The 19,366-nt window shown below is 49.6% G+C and overlaps 1 long non-coding RNA gene across 1 annotated transcript in view, besides 2 other annotated features; it reads right to left on the minus strand.

The window, feature by feature from the left end:
• LOC105377721 (uncharacterized) overlaps positions 1-19,366 on the minus strand; it is a 25,752-nt gene continuing 6,386 nt past the window's right edge. The window contains exon 3 of the long non-coding RNA XR_941213.2: positions 1-58. This is a non-coding gene — a long non-coding RNA (uncharacterized LOC105377721). The remainder of the gene's footprint in view (positions 59-19,366) is intronic.
• Positions 9,351-10,187: an enhancer, noted in NCBI's record as "H3K4me1 hESC enhancer chr5:170906189-170907025 (GRCh37/hg19 assembly coordinates)". NCBI's record gives its function as "activates a minimal SCP1, AML or CMV promoter by ChIP-STARR-seq in primed H9 embryonic stem cells {active_cell/tissue: H9 hESC(primed)}" and the evidence as "EXISTENCE:reporter gene assay evidence [ECO:0000049][PMID:30033119]".
• Positions 10,188-11,023: an enhancer, noted in NCBI's record as "H3K4me1 hESC enhancer chr5:170907026-170907861 (GRCh37/hg19 assembly coordinates)". NCBI's record gives its function as "activates a minimal SCP1, AML or CMV promoter by ChIP-STARR-seq in naive H9 embryonic stem cells {active_cell/tissue: H9 hESC(naive)}" and the evidence as "EXISTENCE:reporter gene assay evidence [ECO:0000049][PMID:30033119]".

Here is a 19,366-nt window from a genome sequence, read left to right on the forward strand (position 1 = left end):
TTGAGCCAGGTTCTTACATCTGAGTACAGTTCTGGCCTATCTGGAAGGATCTCACAGCCTAGTGACAAAGACAGACTCGTAAGCAGATCAATTATAAATTATACTGTGCTATGATAAGTGCAAAGTAATTCAACAAGTCTAGACAAAGGAGATAGATGGCGTGGAGTGGTCTTTGTGCAGAGGATTCTAGAAAGGGAGACAAGACTGGAGACATTTTAATCCATTAGACATGAGGCTCCCATGGACCAAAGAGGGATTTTATCCAAGTGGCCTGAGGGATAGGTATTTAGAGAGGAAGTATTGAAAAGAATGTGGTCGGCTTCTCACTGCAGAACTGGACCTGGCTCACGTTCTGTGCTCCCCTATGGGGTCATGTACTTCAGAGAAACTTTGCCCTCCCACCCTCATCATCCTCAAAGGGTGTGTCTTTTTTTGTTTTTAATTATTTTTCTTTTTTGATACAGGGTCTCTCTCTGTCACCTAGGCTGGGGTGCAGTGGCGCAATCATGGCTCACTGCAACCTTGAACTCCTGGGCTCAAGGGATCCTCTTGCCTCAGCCTCCCGAGTAACTGGGACTACAGGTGTGTATCGCCATGCTCGGCTAATCTTTTAAAAAATTTTTGTAGATACGGCGTCTCGCTTTGCCGCCCAGGCTAGTCTCAAACCCTGGGCTCATGTGATCCTCCTGCCTCGGCCTCCCAAACAACGGGTGAGTCTTGATTCATTATAGCCCATCACGCTAACTGCATCCCCTGTGCCAATAACTGGCTTCAGACGCGGCATGTGATCATGTTCTGGCCAATGAACTATTAGGGTCCGTGGGGTGGTGTTGGAGGTGGAGCATGTTTCTAGAGAAGTTTTATGATTCTTTTTTTTTTTTTTTTTTTGAGAAGGGTTTCACTTTGTCAGCCAGGCTGGAGTGCAGTGGCGTGATCTCAGCTCACTGCATCCTCGACCTCCTGGGCTCAAGCACACCATGCTCCGCTAATTTTTTTATATTTGTTGTAGAGATGAGGTTTTGCCATGTTACCCAGGCTGGTCTTTAACTACTGAGCTCAACGATCCACCTGCCTCAGCCTCCCAAAGTGCTGGGATTACAGGCGCGAGCCACCATGCCTGGCTTCATGATTCTTAAAAACAGACACAAGGAAGTCATGATTCCTTTTTTGAGTCTGCATTTTGGTGAGGATGTGAGGGCTGGAGCTGTTGTAGCTATCTTGAGACCATGAGGAAAGCTAGCTGCTGCACTGAGGATGGCAGAGCAAAGTGATGGAACGAGCTTGAGTTCTCGATGATATTGTTCCACTGCCGAATTAAGCCATATGGGGTCTTCTCATTGTCTCAGATAACAAAACTTTTTTGTAGTTAAGTCTCTTGCAGCTGGGTTTTTTGTTACGTGTTGCTAAAAGCTTCCCAACTGATACAGAAGAGGAGGTAGTATTTGAAGAATGAGTCTTGGAGAGAAAAGAGAGAGCTTTTTAGGAAGGGGATACAGTCCAGACAAAGATGTTGAGGAAACAGGAAAAGTACATGGGAGGGCAGTAGGTCCGTGGCAGGTGTAGTTCTAAGAAGAGGCCAGATAGGGCTCAGCCCATTAGGCGCACCCCCTTTCCATTCCCTCTTTGCCTCTCTCTATCCATTCATTCCTCCTTTATTTGGAGGAGGGTCTTTGTTGCCCAGGCTGGAGTGCAATGGCACAATCATGGCTCACTGCAGCCTCAACCTCCCGGGCTCAAGTAATCCTTCCACCTCAGCTTCCCAAGTAGGTGGGACTACAGATGAACACCACCAGCTGAGCTAATTCTTAATTTTTATTTTTGTAGAAACAGGGTCTCACTATGTTGCCCAAGCCGGTCTCAAACTTCTGGACTCAAGCGATCCTCCCACCTAGGCCTCCCAAAGTGCTAGGAATACAGGCATGAGCTATCTCACCCGGCCCCTTCATTCCTCTTGAGGGGCTCCTCTTCTTCAACCGGTGTCCTCTCCAATGTACCTAAGAGGAAGATGCAGGTGGCAGAAGCCTGAGCTTAGACATAAAATGTTTATTGAGTGCTCATACGTGCCAGTCCTGTGCTGAGCTGCAGTGAATGAGAGATGGTTCCTTGGAACAGAGCTCCCAGTTCAGAGACAGAGACTAAAACATAAACCTATGTTTCTAAACATATGGTCAATTTCAGGCGAAAGAATTTCAGATGGCTTCTGGACTAACATTTGCTTTTTATTTTAACGTTACAAGTTTATTTTGATGATCAATTTCTATATATGATAGAAATATAAATTTTCTTTTTAAATACATTTAAGCAAATAAATAAAGAGTTAATTTAAGGAAAACTAGGTGGTAATGTTACAGGTGGTATGTGGATATAGTAAAACTTGTGCAATGAGAATTAAGTAAATATGTGCATGTGTGTGTGTATGTGTGAATGAGTGACATGTTTGTCTGCTCAGTCTTTTTTCCAGGCATATGAGAGCAGTCTTCTGTTCTTTTAGGAACTGGTGCTCCTGAATTTTATATAGTTTCACTGGGAGACACCCTGTATATGTGCAAGCTTCCCCACTCCCACCGTAGTTGATTGGTCCCGGATTTTTCAAACATGAAAAGCCCCTCTCTGGTGGCAGAGGCTATGAGGCACAGCTGTGGGCGACCTGTTCCTTGCCCTACTATGGACATTGAGTTGGAGAGAAGGAAGCAGGCCAAGAGAAGGAGAAACAGGAGATATAGTTGATTCTCATTTCTGGTGGTAGTTATGTTCTGTAAAGTTGCCACAAATGAAACTAGTGAACACCAACCTATTGCTCCCAGAGGAACCACAGGTTAGGTTCCTGTGAGCTTCTGGTCACAGCATTTTCATCCATGGATCAACACATACCTTGTTGTATGTGTGTTTCTGTTTAAACACTTTATTTAATATATATTGTTGATTCATTGACACTCAACGCATGGTCAGCAGCACCGTAACTACCGGACGAAGCTTCTCCAGATAAAAATGTGGCACTAAATGGACCTTGAAAAGGATGCTTGTTTATAAAAAGAGAGCTGAACAAGAAGAAGGGCATTGCCTTGTTTGACCTTAGCTGGAAACATGTGCATCATGTGACTCAAAAAATTATCACAGCCGGGTGCATTGGCTCACACCTGTAATCCCACTGTTTTGAGGTCAGGAGTTCAAGACCAGCCTGGCCAACATGGCGAACCCCGTCTCTATTAAAAAGACAAAAATTAGCTGGGTGTGGTGGCGGGCATCTGTAGTCCCAGCTACTTGGGGGTCTGAGGCAGGACAATTTCTTGAACCCGGGAGGCAGAGGTTGCAGTGAGCCAAGACTGTGCCACTGTACTCCAGCCTGGGCAACAGAGTGAGATTCTGTCTCAAAAACAACAACAACAAAAAAATTATCACCACTCCATGCATGCCCATGAACAACCATGAAAGTACCATGAATAGGCCGGGCACGGTGGCTCACGCCTGGAATCCCAGCACTTTGGGAGGCCAAGGGGGGCGGATCATGAGGTCAGGAGATCGAGACCATCTTGGCTAACACAGTGAAACCCCGTCTCTACCAAAAATACAAAAAATTAGCCGGGCGTGGTGACGGGCTCCTGTAATCCCGGCTACTCGGGAGGCTGAGGCAGGAGAATGGCATGAACCCGGGAGGTGGAGCTTGCAGTGAGCCCAGATAGCACCACTGCAGTCTGGCCTGGGTGAAAGAGCGAGACTGTCTCTAAAAAAAAAAAAAAAAAAAAAAAAAAAAAAGAAAGTACCATGAATATTTACTTGGGGATTGATTGCAAATACATTTTGGCAAGTAAGTGAATTCACAAATAGAGAATCTGTGATTAGTAAGAATCAAATGCAGATAGATGATAGATAGATAGATAGATAGATAGATAGATAGATTAGATAGAGAGATAGATGATAGATAGATAGATAGATAGATAGATAGATAGATAGATAGATGATAGATATGTTGAGGTGGAGAGGCCCTCAGCTCTGGTGGGGATTGAGTCACTGGCCCTAGCTATCTCCCAGTCCTTCTTATAGTTTGACTATTCAATTTTTGTTTGATTATATGAAATATTTCAGAGGCCTTCTCAAATCCACCCTTTTTCGTTTTCTCCTAAGCTGATTCAGATGGAGTTCTGTTGCTTACAACCAAAAGAGTTCTGACTTAGCATACAAAGCCCTGGCACATAGTAGGTCCTTAGTGAATGTGAGTCGCTTCCTTTCATCACTGAATGCAGGGTTGGCTAAAGGTAACCCTAGACTGTATGTCACAGGGAGAGGCAGCAGTGAGGAGAAGAAAGGCTTTATAATTTAAAAACACAGGGAGACAACATATTTCCAACTCTTCATTTACCCTGAGCTGCAGCAGCAGTCATTTCTTGCCACGTTCCAGTACAGATGGAAAAGTCACTGAATTACAAACCTAGTTGCAAGCTATTTTTGGTGGAGTTGTATGTGGTGGTGCTGGTGGGTTGTGTGTGTGTGTAATGTACGCATTGGGATTCTTGGCCACTGCCTCTGTTTGTATCAGCTGTCAGCAAATCAGAGGCGCCATCCACGTTTGTCATAATTCATTACATTAATTAACCACTTTTGAGAACTGGGCGCGGGCCAGAGGGGATGCGGGGGAGGGAAGCCTCCATATTGTTGTGTCTCAACCTCCTAGGTCAGAATTTCCACGGTTTGATGGGCTGCCATCGCCTGCACATGTGTCCCCTAACGCGCGGACCTTGATGAAATCATCATGTTTACATCTTTGAATATTCTCTGCAGATGATGCCTATGGCGGGAAGCCAGAGGCAAACAGCATCCCAGAACTTGGCTCTGGAGGCCCAACTCTGTACCCAAAAGAGTTTGGAATTACCCTGACGTCTGATACCAAACTGGGCGTCCTTCTCCAGCCTGTCCCTCCCTGGCCAGTTCCCTGGGCCGGCTGCCTGGCCTAGGCCTTCTGCAGGACAAATGGCGCCAGCTCAAGACCCAGTGAGGTGAAGCCATCCTTTTTCCGTGCCCCCCATTTCAGTGAGTGGTGCCAATGCCCACCCAGCTGCCAGGCTTGGACCCTGCGGGTCATTCTTGACTCTTGGCCCATCCCATCTCCATATCCTGTTGATCTCTTTTTATTCACATTTCTCAAGACCTCTCCAGCTCTAGGTGACCATGATCTGTGCCTCCATCATCACTCACCTGGACCACCACCGCAAACTCATCTCTAGTCTTCTTTTGCCCTGTCTTGCCTTCCATCTTTCCAGCAGGCTGCAGCCAGAGAGATTTTTAAAAATTTTTATTTTTTATTTATTTTTTTAATTAATTATTTTTTTTTTGAGATGGAGTTTCACTCTTGTTGCCCAGAGCTGGAGTGCAGTGGTGCGATCTTGGCTCACAGCAACCTCTGCCTCCTGGGTTCAAGAGATTCTCCTGCCTCAGCCTCCCGAGTAGCTGGGATTACAGGCATGCACCATCACACCTGGCTAATTTTTTATTTTTAGTAGAGATGGGGTTTCACCATGTTGGCCAGGCTGGTCTCGAACTCCCGACCTCAGGTGATCCGCCCGCCTCAGCCTCCCAAAGTGCTGGGATTACAGGCGTGAGCCACTGCACCCGGCCCCAGGGAGATTTTTTAAAACACGAATGGAAGCATGCCACTGTCCTGCTTAAATCTCGCCATGCTTTTTCATCGACCCTGGGACTCTACGATGCTTTACAAGGTCCTTCCAGACCTGGCTCACCCTGCCAATCATTGATTCCTGTCCATTTCCAAGCCTTATTCTCCAACCTCCCAGTCACTTCTTCCAATACATTTTCTTATGTTTCTTTCTGTTTCATGCAACCAAAGTTCCTGATTCCTGAATCATCAAAAGTTTTTATTGGTTCTGCATATCAGATTAAGGGCAATTTTGTTTATCTTTTTTGAACAAAAATGTCCTAGGTTCTAACTCTGTGCTCAGCAACTGAGCCACCAATTAATGTTTGGCTACTGAATCTTTGGTGCTTAGAAACTAGGTCTTTGGTGACATCACTTAAGCTATCAGATCAAACCTTACCTGAAGCTAGTGTCAAAATGTTCTGTCCTGAGTCAACAGATTCTTCTTGTTGACTAAGCTAGTTTGAATTAAGTTTCAACACAGACATTGAATCACAAACTGTTTTTGGACAAAGACAACATCTGCTTCATCCTCACTCAATTATCTGCTAGGGTGGGCTTGTTATTTGTATTATCCAGGCCTATTATCAACCTCTTTCCTATCTTGGTGATGAGAGTAATTGCCCTCTGCACATCACTTGGACAGTCCACAAAGCCCTGCACATCCATTATCTCATTTAAACCTGTCGACAATCCTGGGAGGTGTGTGGAATTTATCCATTTCATACATGAGAGAACTGAGGCTCGGAGAGGTAACAGGCTTGCCCAAGGTCACATGGCTAGTGAGAAGCAGAGCTAATCTTTTTTATTTATTTATCAGGTTTTTTACATATGTATACATGTGCCATGTTGGTGTGCTGCACCCATTAACTCATCATTTACATTAGGTATATCTCCTAATGCTATCCCTCCCCCATCCCCCCACCCCACGACAGGCCCCGGTGTGTGATGTTCCCCACCCTGTGTCCAAGTGTTCTCATTGTTCAGTTCCCAACTATGAGTGAGAACATGCGGTGTTTGGTTTTCTGTCCTTGCGATAGTTGAAGCAGAGCTAATCTTAAATCCTGTCCTCTGATTCAGAACTTATATGCTTTCTTAATATTCATTAAATCATTCATTCATTTAAGAACAGCAAAGATCATTGAATGCTTGCCACATGCAGACAGCTTGCTAAACTTTGTTGATTCATCAGTGAACAAGACAAGGTCTCGGTCCTTAAGGAACTTACTATCTAACAGGAGACACAGACAGTGGCGATGTTGTGTGGAAACACCTATGATGAGGGGGTCACCTCTTCATCCTGAGCCTAGACAGCTGGGCACCAAGACTTGACTATTTCCAGTCTCCTTGTGTCTCTGCTTTAAGACTCAACTTCCAGGTTTGGGTGGGGTAGGGGCAGATTGGAACATATGCAATAAACTGTGTGCTATGGGGAACAGGCAACTCCTCAGAAGGAAATTGGGACATTTCTAGGAAGGGGAAGTAGCAACAACAAATGTCTACTTTAATTTAGGATACTGGAGCCATTTACTGGAGTCCAGGGTTATAGTGCCTGAATGATGGTTAAGGAGTTATAGTTGCTGTAGGGTCTGCATTAGAGCTTTTATTAAGTGATTTCACTTCATTTTGGACATTAGGTTTTTGTCCCCTAAGTCCTTTTGACTTATTTTGGAACCATCTTCTATGAATGTTGCTAAACCTTTTAAGGAGAAAGTAGAAGTTGGTGAGGAGGATTGATGCATTTTCTCATCATCTACTGCAGCAATGTAAATACGTACTGTCTACTTTCCCCAACCCACCCATAGAAGACATGACTAATCGATTCTGGTATTCTTCCCCACTGAGCCCAGATCAAGCCTCAGAAATCTTATCAGTGTGCTCCAGGCAGCCACAACCAGTGGATCAGAGTTGGCACATGAGGTGAAACATATTTGTGAGTTCTGTTTTTGGACTGTGGGGCCTTGGGGAAAAATTCCTTCTTTTCTCTGGACCTCAGTTTTTCCATCTGTTAAATAATGACCCAAATGACCTGTAAGGTGTCTTCCAGTTCTGACAGTTTGGGACAGGAAAGTCTTTAAGTCATTGGGTGGAAAGTTGTGTCCTGGGGCAGGTTTTTAGCCTCTAGATGGAGTTTTCTGTCCCACTCCCTTGGAGCCTTTGGGGCTGCAAAGTGGTAGGAATCAAATCATATGCTGGGGAATAGACTAAATATTTTCTTCACAATATGTCTAGGTAATACTGCTAGAGAACACCCAAGGGCTAAGTGGTGTGGATTCAGGAAGCCTCAGTAGACAACATCAAGGGTAGTTGGCATTTATCAAGTGCTGTTCGGTGTGCCTGGCTCCAAACCCAATCTCCAAGTTAATCTTCTAATTACCATTTTACAGATAAGGACACTGAATTCAGATGGTTGCATGCCTGTCCACAGTCAGAGCAGAGCCAGGATTGGAGCTCGGGTTCCGAGTCCATAGCTCTTTCCCTATTCCACCTGTCTCCAGTTAGAGAGGCCCTAAGGGGAGGGTCTTTGTTACACATTGTGATTTGCCAAGCCCAGCCCCACTTCAGGGTCACTCCTCTCTTTGATCAAACCCAGTTTGATCTTTACTTCTTGGAAATTTCTCTGCTCAACCCAAATAGGGATGTGTTCTCTTTGTCTCCCTCCCCCAGGGTGGTAGACACCTCCTAGATGCTCACCAACACCATCTCCTTAATCCCCAGCCTCCCTTGCAGTTAAGTGGGGCAGTGTGACTAGTTCCAGCCAATGGAATATGGACAAGTGAGGTACGTGACTTCTGGGCCAGCCCACAAAATGTTCCACGCAGTCCTCCATGACGTCCTTCTCTTGCTTGTTGGCCGACCTCCAGTAGGGGAATCTAGCAGAAGACTCCAAGGAGGCCTGGATCTCATAATGACTGCGGGGAGCAGAAGCTCCTGCCCATGCACTGTACCATGTGATGTCTTCCTAAGTCATTGAGATGCTGGGATTATTTGTTAAAGCAGCTTGCATTAAATAGCCTGACAAATACCCCCAGCATCTTGTAATTCATTTCTACTGAAACAACAACCGCACTGCATTGTAATTGGTTATTTATCTGTCTTACCCAGTGGGTTGGAAGCTGCTTGAGGGCAGATATGAGATTCATCTATGTCCTGTGTCCAGCACAAGAAGACATTCTTCATTTATTCGATCAATGCACAAAAACACCTTGAGATGCAGCAAAACTGTGAAGTTTGCAGGCTCTGGAGTTGGGGTGGGTGGGTTGGAATCTTTATTTTTTCCCCTGTTGCTTGGATCACCTTGGGCAAGGTACTTAACCTCTCTGAGCTTAGTTTTCTAATCTGTAAAGTGGTGATAACAGAAGTACCTACCTCATAGAATTGTCACGAGGCTTAAATGAGGTTGTGTGTTTAGCCCATATCTAGCAAGCAGTAAGCACTCAATAAATAGGACTCCTATTGTTATAATAGGACAATAGCTATTATTGTCCACATTTACACTGAGATCCAGAGAGGCCGCTTGACTGATTCAAGATCCCTCAATAAAGGAGAGAGATAGTGTTTGGATTCAGCTCTTCTTCTTTCTGCTGTGCTTGAGGGAGCTTGTCAGCCATCTTGGTCTTTTTTCCTGGAGCTCTGGGTGGCAGCCAGCAACCCCAGTGGGAGTGGTGACCTGGGAGTTTTTAACACCTTCAGGTGCTAAGTGGCCTTCAGGTGCTAAGCTGAGGCAAAGGGCAGTGATTTGCTTCCCTGGGGATCATCATACACTTGCTTGAAAGACCTTTCAGGGTGGAAATGTCACCTGGGAACCAGTGTCCCTACCCTGGAGGAGCCAGGCTGTACCCTGGGGACACTCCTGGAACTCCCAGGGACCCCGCCTGAGAGCCCTTGTTGCCAGGGCAGCCGTTGGGCTTGAAGAGCCCCAGGAGCTCCAATGTGGGGCCAGCTTCACTCTTTTCCAGGCTGTCTGTTTTTCTCCCCTTCTACCTCTCCTCCTCCTCCTTCTTCTGAAAAATACTCAGCAGTTTTTGAGCTGCTTTGGCAATCTCTGGGCTTGAATTTCAAGACCTGCAGCCTTTGAGGACAGGAGCCCAGAGGAAGGTTTTCAGATCTGTGACCCAGACGGCAGGAAGTGCTGGGGTTTCCTGCAGGGTGGGAGAGGTAGGGCCATGCTGGGGTTTCCCCAGGCAGGATGGGAGGGGTCCCAGCAGTAGTCTGACTTCAGTCCCCTGGGAAATTTAGGGAAAAGGCCCACAGGGAGTGCTGGGGAATTTTAGGGCATCCTGGCCTGGTGCAGTGATGACAGCCCACAGCAGTCCTGGGGTCCCCTGCCACGTGCCCAGGGCTGGCCTTCTGTGGGTGCTGAGCTCCACCTCTTCCCTGGCCTTCTTGCCCCCTTCTAAAACACACTGCACACTTGCCCACCTCTGTGCCATTCTCCTGTACTGCCTCCCCTCTCCCTTTACCACCTAGTGCCCCACACTCATGTTACCTGAACTCACCCCTTCCTGGGGAGGGTCCCCTGGCCTCTTACAGCCTCAGGCATGCTCCTCCTCAGGGACTGTCCTGTACTAACCAAAGAATGCCTTGAAGGCAGGGCCCTTGACTGTTCACCTTTGAGCCAGTGCCTCAGTGAGTGAATGAATGAACCAGAGGGGGAATGAATGAAAGAGGGAAAGAATGAGCAGGAACAGTGACTGCCTGTGTGAATGAGTGAATGAGTCAATGAGTGCATGAAGGAATGAATGAACGCGCCCAAGTGGGAGTGATGGGGGAGCTGGGGCTTCTGGGTGGTCCCTGGTTCAGCAGCGGCAGCAGAAAAGGAGGCACTAGCTGGCGGGGGAAGGACCAGCCTGAGGGGTCTCTTCCCCATCTGCAGTGCTCCGCCCCTCTTCTGGCTCCTGTATCCCCTCATGCTCCCATCCCTGGCCACGCTCAGAGAACCCCCCAGGCCCCCCGGTTAGGGTTTTCTTGGCTGGATCCTCCTAGGAGGCTGTTTCTCTTGGATGAAGCCTTCCCCTGACCCCTCCTCCCCTCCCCAAGTCCTCATAAAATGTTCAAAGTATTTTCTTTTACTCAATAAAGTAAACAAAGGCAAGGGCAGCCTCGAGGCTGAATTTGCATCCCCTTGGCTCTGCTCAGCCTAGGCTAACAACCTCCTTCAGCAGCAGAAGTCTTTGCCGCTCTACTCCACAGATGGGAAAACAGGGCTTGTAGGGGTCAAGGCCATTCTGTTAAGGAGCGTGAGACACAAACTTGACCTGGGCCTTCAGACGTGGATCTGGGGAGAACCATCCCCTTCTCAGTGGCTCCTCTTGACCTCACTTTGATTCCAGTAGGTGACAGTGCAGGGGTGCCCTGGGGTGGGTCCCTTGGAGCCTTGGTGGTGAGAGTCCGCAGGTTTTTCTGCAAGAGGCTACAATATGGCTGTGTGCATCTTCTGCTGAACAGCTACGGTACATAGGCAGGAGGATGGCAGAGCCAAGGGGAGGGCATTCCCCACTGCTGAGGAAGGTTGGACGCCCCACCTGGGGCTCCACTGGGACCGAAGAGACTCGGGTCGGGGTGCAGGGTGGGCAGAACCATAGAAAGGAGCATGCACTCCCTGAGCATTCATTGCAACAGCCCCCCTAGGTGGGAACTATTATCACCATCTTTTTTTTTTTTGAGACAGAGTTTTCCTCTTGTTGCCCAGGCTGGAGTGCAGTGGCGCCATCTCGGCTCACCACAACCTCCACCTCCCAGGTTCAAGTGATTCTCCTGCCTCAGCCTCCCGAGTAGCTGGGATTACAGGCATGTGCCACTACGCCTGGCTAATTTTTTATTTTTTTTGTATTTTTAGTAGAGATGGTGTTTCACAATGTTGGCCAGGCTGGTCTCGCACTCCTGACCTCAGGTGATCACCTGCCTTGGCCTCCCAAAGTGCTGGGATTACAGGTGTGAGCCACCGCGTCCAGCCTATCACCATCTTACAGATGATGAAATTAAGGCCCAGAGAGGTGACATGACTTGTCCAAGGTCACACAGGTGGTGAATAGTGGGGCCAGGATTCAATCGAAGCATCCTTCAAGTCTCCCAAGCCTGGGTTCTTACTCATTCTGCTAGTTGGGTGAGGACCTGAGTGGGAAGGCTGCAAGTCCAGGTGTGAGCTGGCATCAGACCTGTGAGGTGCTTAGCAGGGTGCAGGTGCAGAGTGGGTGCTTTTCTGGATGTATGGTTGTGTGCCTTCCTCCGACTGAAGACCAAGACTCCCAGGAAGATGGGGACTTTCCGTTCTTGCAGGAGTCTGGATTCTCCTTGGTTAATCAGTTCTCCCAGAAGCCTAACCACTTTCTTCAGTCTTCTGTGCAGATAGATGCTCTCCAGCACTCACTTTGGGCCGGTCCCCCTTTCTGACTGCTCTCATCCCACATCCCTGTGGTGGGTGGAGCTGGCTCCTTGGAAAAGGGGGTTCCTTTTAGACAGCCCTGCCCTCCACCTCCCTTTCCACTCGCTGGCCTCGGCCAGCCCCCTGGGCCCAGCTCGAGAACAGACACTCACCCCTCTGCCAAGCACGGAGTGGGAAGGGAAGGGCTGTGCAGCCCCAGCCAGGAGTCCCAGCCAGGGAACAGATCAAGAGCGGATGGGATGATGGGGGCCACTGAGGTTCTGGGACCAAGGCATGAAGGCATGGGAACTTTGGGCTGCGGTGGGTCAAGGGGTGGCCAGGAGGTCAAGGGAGGAGCAGGGGGCTCCCTATCCCCAGCTCAGCCTGGGTGTGAAAGCCAGGAGTCTTCTAGTTGCAGCTGGAGGGGGCACACAGTGGGAAATAGCCTCACTCCATTGCTCCTTAAAGGGGCCAGCCAGGCTTCTTAAAGTGGCAGCTCCTGGGCAGGGAGGGGCCCCGGGAGAGCTTGGCCTCTCAGCCCTGGGAGCAGAGCTTCTTTCCATCAGGCAGTGAGTCCACCTACCATAGAGATGCCCTGGTTTCCTGCCTCCTCACCATCATGGCATCTAGAAAGGCCTCCTCCCACATGAGGGGGCTGTGGGGTTGGGCCCCTCATCTGCCTTGGCCTGCGTGTCCAGTCCTGGGCCTGGCCCAAAAGAGAGCCTCAGTGACTACTGAGAAGTAGATGATTTGATGAAGGGACCGGGCTGGAGCTGTGAGCTGAGACCCCAGAGTACAACCGGAGCTCTTCCCAACCCAGGGTATGAGCTTGGTCCAAATGGATCCTGGCAGAGACGGGCACTCCTTGGTCAATCTGTTTCTGAACCTTGCCATCTCCACTCATCCCAAACTTTCCAGCCCCATAGCACATCTGACATCTGTGATGTGCTTTTCCTATGTGATAAATGGACACCGTAACTTAGTATTTAGGGACCAGACAGGCTGAGTTCAAATCCTCGCTCTGCCTATTCCTAGATATTTCTGTTTCCTCTCTGCAAATGGAGCTATGAGTAATAATATATTGGGGCATTGTTGAAAGGCTTAGATCATCTAAAGCAGCGACAGTGATGAGAACAGGACCTGATCTTAAAGGGTGCAATAAACGGTAGCTCTTACTTTTACTACGAACGGCATGTGCAGAGGATACTATGCTTTTCTGTCAGCTCAGAAAACTGGGTAGCTGAGAGGCAAATGACATGTCCAAGGTCACCCAGAAAATATACAGCAGAGCCAGGATTTGAACTCAGGTCCAGCTGAGCCAAAGCCTGCTTTCTTTGTGTCATCATGCACCACCTCCTTCCACATCTTGCCCTGGGAGTGCGTGATCACTGGGGCTCGGGAGCTGCTAAGTGCTGGGGTAGGGGATAGCATTTTACTAGGGTCCTGGGGGCCAGTGGCTGACCAGATCCATGCCCTCCTTCCCCTGGCCTAATGCTGCAGATCTCAGGATGTCAAAGGGGGTGATGTCAGACAGTCATGCTGGGTGGGAATGGCTCTGAAAGCCTGCAGCCCCTTCCTCGCATGGAGCCTCAGCTTCCTCGCCTGTAGGTTGGGATGATCCGACAGAGGCATTGTGAGTCTCAGCTGAGCTATAACTCGTGAGAAAGCTTTTCGGACACATAGCAGGCAAGGCCTCCCAGGTTGGAGGACAGGAAGGGAGCCTGTCTGAGTAGGGAAGGGAGCTGGCCGTGTCCACAGCCTCCAACCCTCGGCCTCAGCCCCGGCCCACAGCTGGGCCTGGACTCCTGCTCGTGGCCGCCCCTCTCATGGGTCTGCGGGGATTTCTCTGCTCCAGGCTGACCCCTTCCTTGCAGAGGAGGCTTCTGTTGCCCGTCCGCTCTGCTGGGCCTGGGCTATTCTCTGTGTTTGTGTGTGTGGGGGTTGGGGATAGGTGGGGGTCCTCTTGGATTCTGTGATGGAGGGAATCCTGGCGTCCCTGTGGAGTCAGCCTGGGCCGCCGCCGGCTCAGCCGTCCTTCCCAGAGCCTCTGCAGCCCTTCTGGCTGCCGTTGCCTGCAGATTCCCGGCGAATGGTGCTCCTGAGACCGCTATGGGCCCAGGCTGCGTCATTCCCACCCTCCCTGAGCTCTGGGACTAGCTGGGCAGGGCTCCAGCCCTGGGAACTCCGCCTGCTGCTTTTTTCCCCTTCTTCGAAATTTCACTGTATGATTCAATGAAATGTCCTCTGCTTCCCGTCACCTGGCTTGGCTAAGCTGACCTTGTAGTGTGGAGCAGAGAGCACTGGACCTGGAGCTCAGGTGCTGGCATGCGTTCTGCCTTGGATGTCCTGTGTGACCGCAGGAGAGCGCCTTTACCTCTGTGGGCCTCGGTTTTTCCATCCGTAAAATGGACTGGGAGGATGGTAGTGAGGGTGTGTCTAGCAATAGAAGAGGGGAGAATGAGAACTGCCTCTGCACCCTCTCATGCCTGTCTTCTCTCTCTATGGTGGCCACTGTCTCTTCCTTCTTTGCAGAGATGTTTACCCAGGGGTCTAAGCCAGAGCTTCCTTCTCTGCCCTCCCTGCCAAGCCAGCGTACAGATCACTGGTCCCAGGGTCGGCTGTGGTAGCCCTAGGTTGGAACACACCCCTGGTTCCAAGAAGGTCCCCGTCTAATATGTGAGTCCACAGGTCCTTCCTTCACTATCCTCCCCACCCAGGCTAAAGGCTGAGGCACCCCCCACCAGGTGGGGCTTCACCACTAGAGGGCGCCCACCCCCCCACAACTTGATTAAAAAAATAAAACCCAAACGGCCTACCCCAACTAAACGTAATCGTTACAGCAATTATTGAGCATTTATTATGTGTCAGGTGCTGTACTAATCCCTACAACACCCCTAGAAGGTATACAGTGACATCATTCCCACTTAACAGATGACAAGACCGAGGTCTGGAGAAGTAAAATGACTCACCCAAGACCACCCAGCTGGTCAGTGACAGAGCTGGGACCAGCAACCAGGTCTAAGCAGTGGAGTCCCAGGCCCAATGCAGAGGCCTCATGGCACCCAGAGTCAGCCACTGCAGTGGGGAGGATGGCTGGGATGGGAGCTGAAGGTGGAGGCTAGGATTGATGAGATCAGAGACCACCAAAGGAAACGTTTGTAAACCTTCACAAAATTCGGCAGCTTTTCAAAATAATGATAATGGTAGGTTACATCCATAGAGCACTCACCATGTGGCAAACACAATACCAAGAGTTCTATATACACAATCTCCCCTAATACTAGGAACAACCCAAACGGGGGTATGTTCCAGTATTATTTCTGTTACAGATGGGGAGACTGAGGATCAATGAGGTGAAGTGTCTTGCCCAACCTTGCTCATTTGAACCCAGGTCTCTTTGCCTCTGGAGCTTGTGACTTAACTTCTGCATTCTGCTGCTTTTCTCCTTTAGAAGAATCTTATCCAGAATCCCAACATTTAAGAGATAAAAGTGGGTGGAAGCAGAGGAGGTGGGGGTACAGGAGCCTGAAGCTTTCCAGGCCAGTTTGAAAAGCCCTGATCGAATGCCCCCCTCTCCAAGCCCCAGACAGGAGCAGGGACTTGCCCACGGGCCCAGAGCTGGTTAGGGGTAGAGCCCCCAGACCACTACTTGCTCCCTCTGTGGGTGCTACCTTGACTTTGAGATAAGGTCCAGGCCTCAGGTGACAGGGGTAGATGCTTTAATCTTTGGCCTCAGCAACTGGGCAGAGAACCTTATATCCCTGATGAAGAGACTTCCACCCTGACTAGAGACTCTGGGACATGTCGGCTGTCATAGGCAGTGGCAGCCGAGGGGTGGCTTGGGGGATGGACATGTGGGTCCCCTAAATCTCCATCAGTCTTTCCCCCAAGCCATAGTAAACAAGAGGCCCTTTTCTCACCTCTGAGTAGTGTGCAGTCCCAAACCCCCTCCTGGGTAGGATCCTGGGTCCTGGAGCAGACTGTGGTCATGTGAGTTGAATCAATGACCCCCTGGCTGTGTGTCTAGCTTGGGAGCACTAGGGGGGGATATGGTCTCCGTACCATGCGAAGTCCTGTTTCTGTGTAATGCAGTGAATTCCTACCCAGGTCCCACCTGGGATTCACCTTGTTCTTTTGTAGGAGTCGAATCTCTGCAATTGTCTGACTTCTGCAGTGATGCTGGGGGAATTAAATGTAGCTGCAGTATGTACAAGACATATCCTGCAGTGGGGGAACACTGTCAGGTGGGTCCCGCTGGGGCTGGGGACATGGGAACCAATAATGTGTGTGAAGCACTTAGTGGGGACCAGGCCCAGGGCTCAGCATGATCACTCTGAATCCATACAGCAGCCCTGCAAGGTAGGCACTCTGGAGCTTGTGACTTAACTTCCGCATTCTGCTGCTTCTCTTTCTTTAGAAGAATCGTTTCTAGAATCCCAATATTTAAGGGATAAAAGTGGGTGGAAGCTGAGGAGGTGGGGGGTACAGGAGCCCAAGAGTCCCCAAGGCCACAGTGCTTTCACCCCTCTATGAGGATGCATAAAACAGAGCCTCAGAGAGGCTAAGTGGCATGTTCAGGGTCGTCCAGCTGCGAAGTGTCGCAGCTGGGATTTGAACCCTGGTTGGCTGGACTCAAAGGTCCCACATTGTTCTACTCTGCCCTGCTGGAGCACCTGTGTAGACTGTTAGATTGGTTCAGTGAAGCATGCCTGCTATTGACACCCTTGCGTAGTCCCTTTTGAGGTGACTTGTTACGTAGCAGCGATAGATCGTTAAAACAGTTCCTGGGAGGAGTCACTGAACAAGGCTGGGAGTGAGATTAGGAAACTTTCTTTTTTAGTTTCTTGCTCTTGAAAGATCAAGTCCCTGTGAGTTTGGAGCACCTCTGCAGGATTCCTCCTGAGCAGAAATGAAGGACAAGGAGGGCTTGGCAGCGAGAGCTCAATATTCATGCATCTCTGTGTTCTCTGCTCCTCCTGGCCACGTGGCTCCACTGCTCTTCCCTTTCTTCTTTCCAATTAGGTGTGGCCATGTACATGATTTCTAGGTTGTGGAGTGTGGTGGAAGTGATTCATGCCACTTTGGGCCTGGCCCAAAAAACTCTCCTATGAGCCCCCTTCTCTTTTCTTGCCCCTTGGCTGAGAGGAGAGGACTCTGAGGGCCTCGAAGAGGATGGAAGCACAGGATGGAAGAGGCTTGGGCCCTGAATGACTGCATGGAGGCTGCCTGGCCAGGAGCACCTGCATCGGACTGTGATGTGAAGGAGAAACGAGATTTCATTGTGTAAAAGCCACTCGCTGAGGAGCCGGGACTACCTGGTCAGGACCTAGTTTTCCCTAACTAATCCAGAGGGTAAGGAGAGGTCTTGCTGAGAACATGGGATGTGGGCCTTCCAGTGTCCAAGGGGAAGTTGGATCAAGAGGGAGAGAAATGTACCCCACTGTCCCTGGGTGCTGTAGATACTGGGTCTTGGCCTCCTGGGGGAAGAAGGGCTTTGAGGTGTTTTCTTGACAAATCATTTGTTGAGCACCCGCTCTGAGCCAGTGTCTGTCTCAGCCTGGAGAGGCAGAGATGGCGAAGCTTTGCTCTCAAAGTGCTCACAGTGTGTTAGGGAGACAAAGGCAGGTCAGGGTCAGGTGATGCCAACCTCTCAGGAGCCATAAGCTCCCCTGATACAGGGCAGGTGGGGAGGGTAAATAAATTAGTGAGGAGGCCAAGTGTGAGGCAATAGGGAATGGTGGGGATTGTGGTGAACTTCAGAGACACACCTGGCGGTGGTGGCAGCTTCCATCAGCTGCAGTCTCTTGTTGCCACATGGGTCCATATTCTCACACTGGGTTCATGGGAAAATGGACCCTGTGTGGACAGAGCCTCCAGTTTTTTAAGTCAAATCAGAAATTTTGATACTTATGTGAATTCTCCTATTTTTCAAAACTTGAAAATTAACTTAAAACTAACATTAAAAATCTGAGAAAAAAGCATCGCCAGAAAAGTTAAAAATTAAAAAAACAAAAACAGAACAAAACAAAGCCGGCTGGGTGCAGTGGCTCACGCCTGTAATCCCAACACTTCGGGAGGCCGAGGCAGGTGGATCACTTGAGGTCAGGAGTTCGAGACCAGCCTGGCCAACATGGCAAAACCTCGTGTCTACTAAAAATACAAAAATTAGCTGGGCATGGTGCTGGGCACCTGTAATCCCAACTACTTGGGAGGCTTAGACAGGAGAATGGTTTGAACCTGGGAGGCGGAGGTTGCAGTGAGCCGAGATTGTGCCATTGCACTCCGGCCTGGGTGACAAGAGTAAAACTCTAAAACAAACAAAAACAAACAAACAAAAAAACCCAACCAAAATCCCCCTGGGGTTTTGGCTTACAACCTCTGTGATAATATGTTATAAGGGGCTTGTGGGATGCTTGAGGCTGGGACTCTAACTCATCCTGGGAGTGTCTACAGAAAGGGGAAACCTTACCTGAGACATGAAGGGTGAGGAGAGAGTAGGAAAGAGAAGAGGCAGAAGAGGAAAGCTGAATCGGGCAGTGGCACAGCTTGAGCAAAGGCATGGAGGGCAGAGCTGCAGGCAATTTGCTTTTTTGAGTATCCCGGATGTAACATGGCACCTGTACTACCTACACCCTCCTAATGGAAGCCACCTTAGGGGGCACCAAAGTAGGAGTCTTGGGTTTTTGGGGGTAAAGGGACAGGGAGAGAAGGGACTCCTGAGAAACATACAAGGGAAATCCTTTGTCAAGGTAAAGCGCTAACAAACTCTAGGGACAGATTATTTTCTCTCCAGCTTTAGTTGAGTTTTGCTCTTTGCAGCACTATCTCTCTGTCACGGGCAAAAGCCCTGTTCTTGAGGTGCTTTGGGGAATGAAGAAGTGTGGGCTGTGTTCATGCTTGGGACAAGCAGGGTGGAGCGGAGCCAGCAACTGGTGGCCAAGGTGGCAGAAGTGACCAGGGAACAGCTGACAGTGGGCTTCAGGAGCAGGAGACAGAACACTGAGGGAAGGTAGGCGCCGCTGGGGATCTCCTGGGAAGCAGTGAGGAGGGTGCCGCGTGTCCTGCAGGTACCTGTGGGGCGGGGCTCGAGTGCCTGTATCTGCAGGTTGAAGGGAAGGGTGGCCCCAGCTGCCTCAGGGTCACACATGATGAGATGGCATTTGGCTGGGCTGCCGGGAGGGCCCTGGACACAGTGCGGTGCCACAGAACCCCACTCCACGCCCTGGGCTCTTTCTCTGCCAAGGAAGGTGACTGGTCCAGACTGAGATGGCAAGCCTTTCCATCTCATGAGGCACTCTGGGCGGACTGGCTGTGGTTTTGGATAAATGTGAATTTCAGGCTGCACAGGGTTCGGC

The sequence above is a fragment of the Homo sapiens genome, chromosome 5, assembly GCF_000001405.40.
Source record: "Homo sapiens chromosome 5, GRCh38.p14 Primary Assembly".
NCBI lineage: Eukaryota > Metazoa > Chordata > Mammalia > Primates > Hominidae > Homo > Homo sapiens.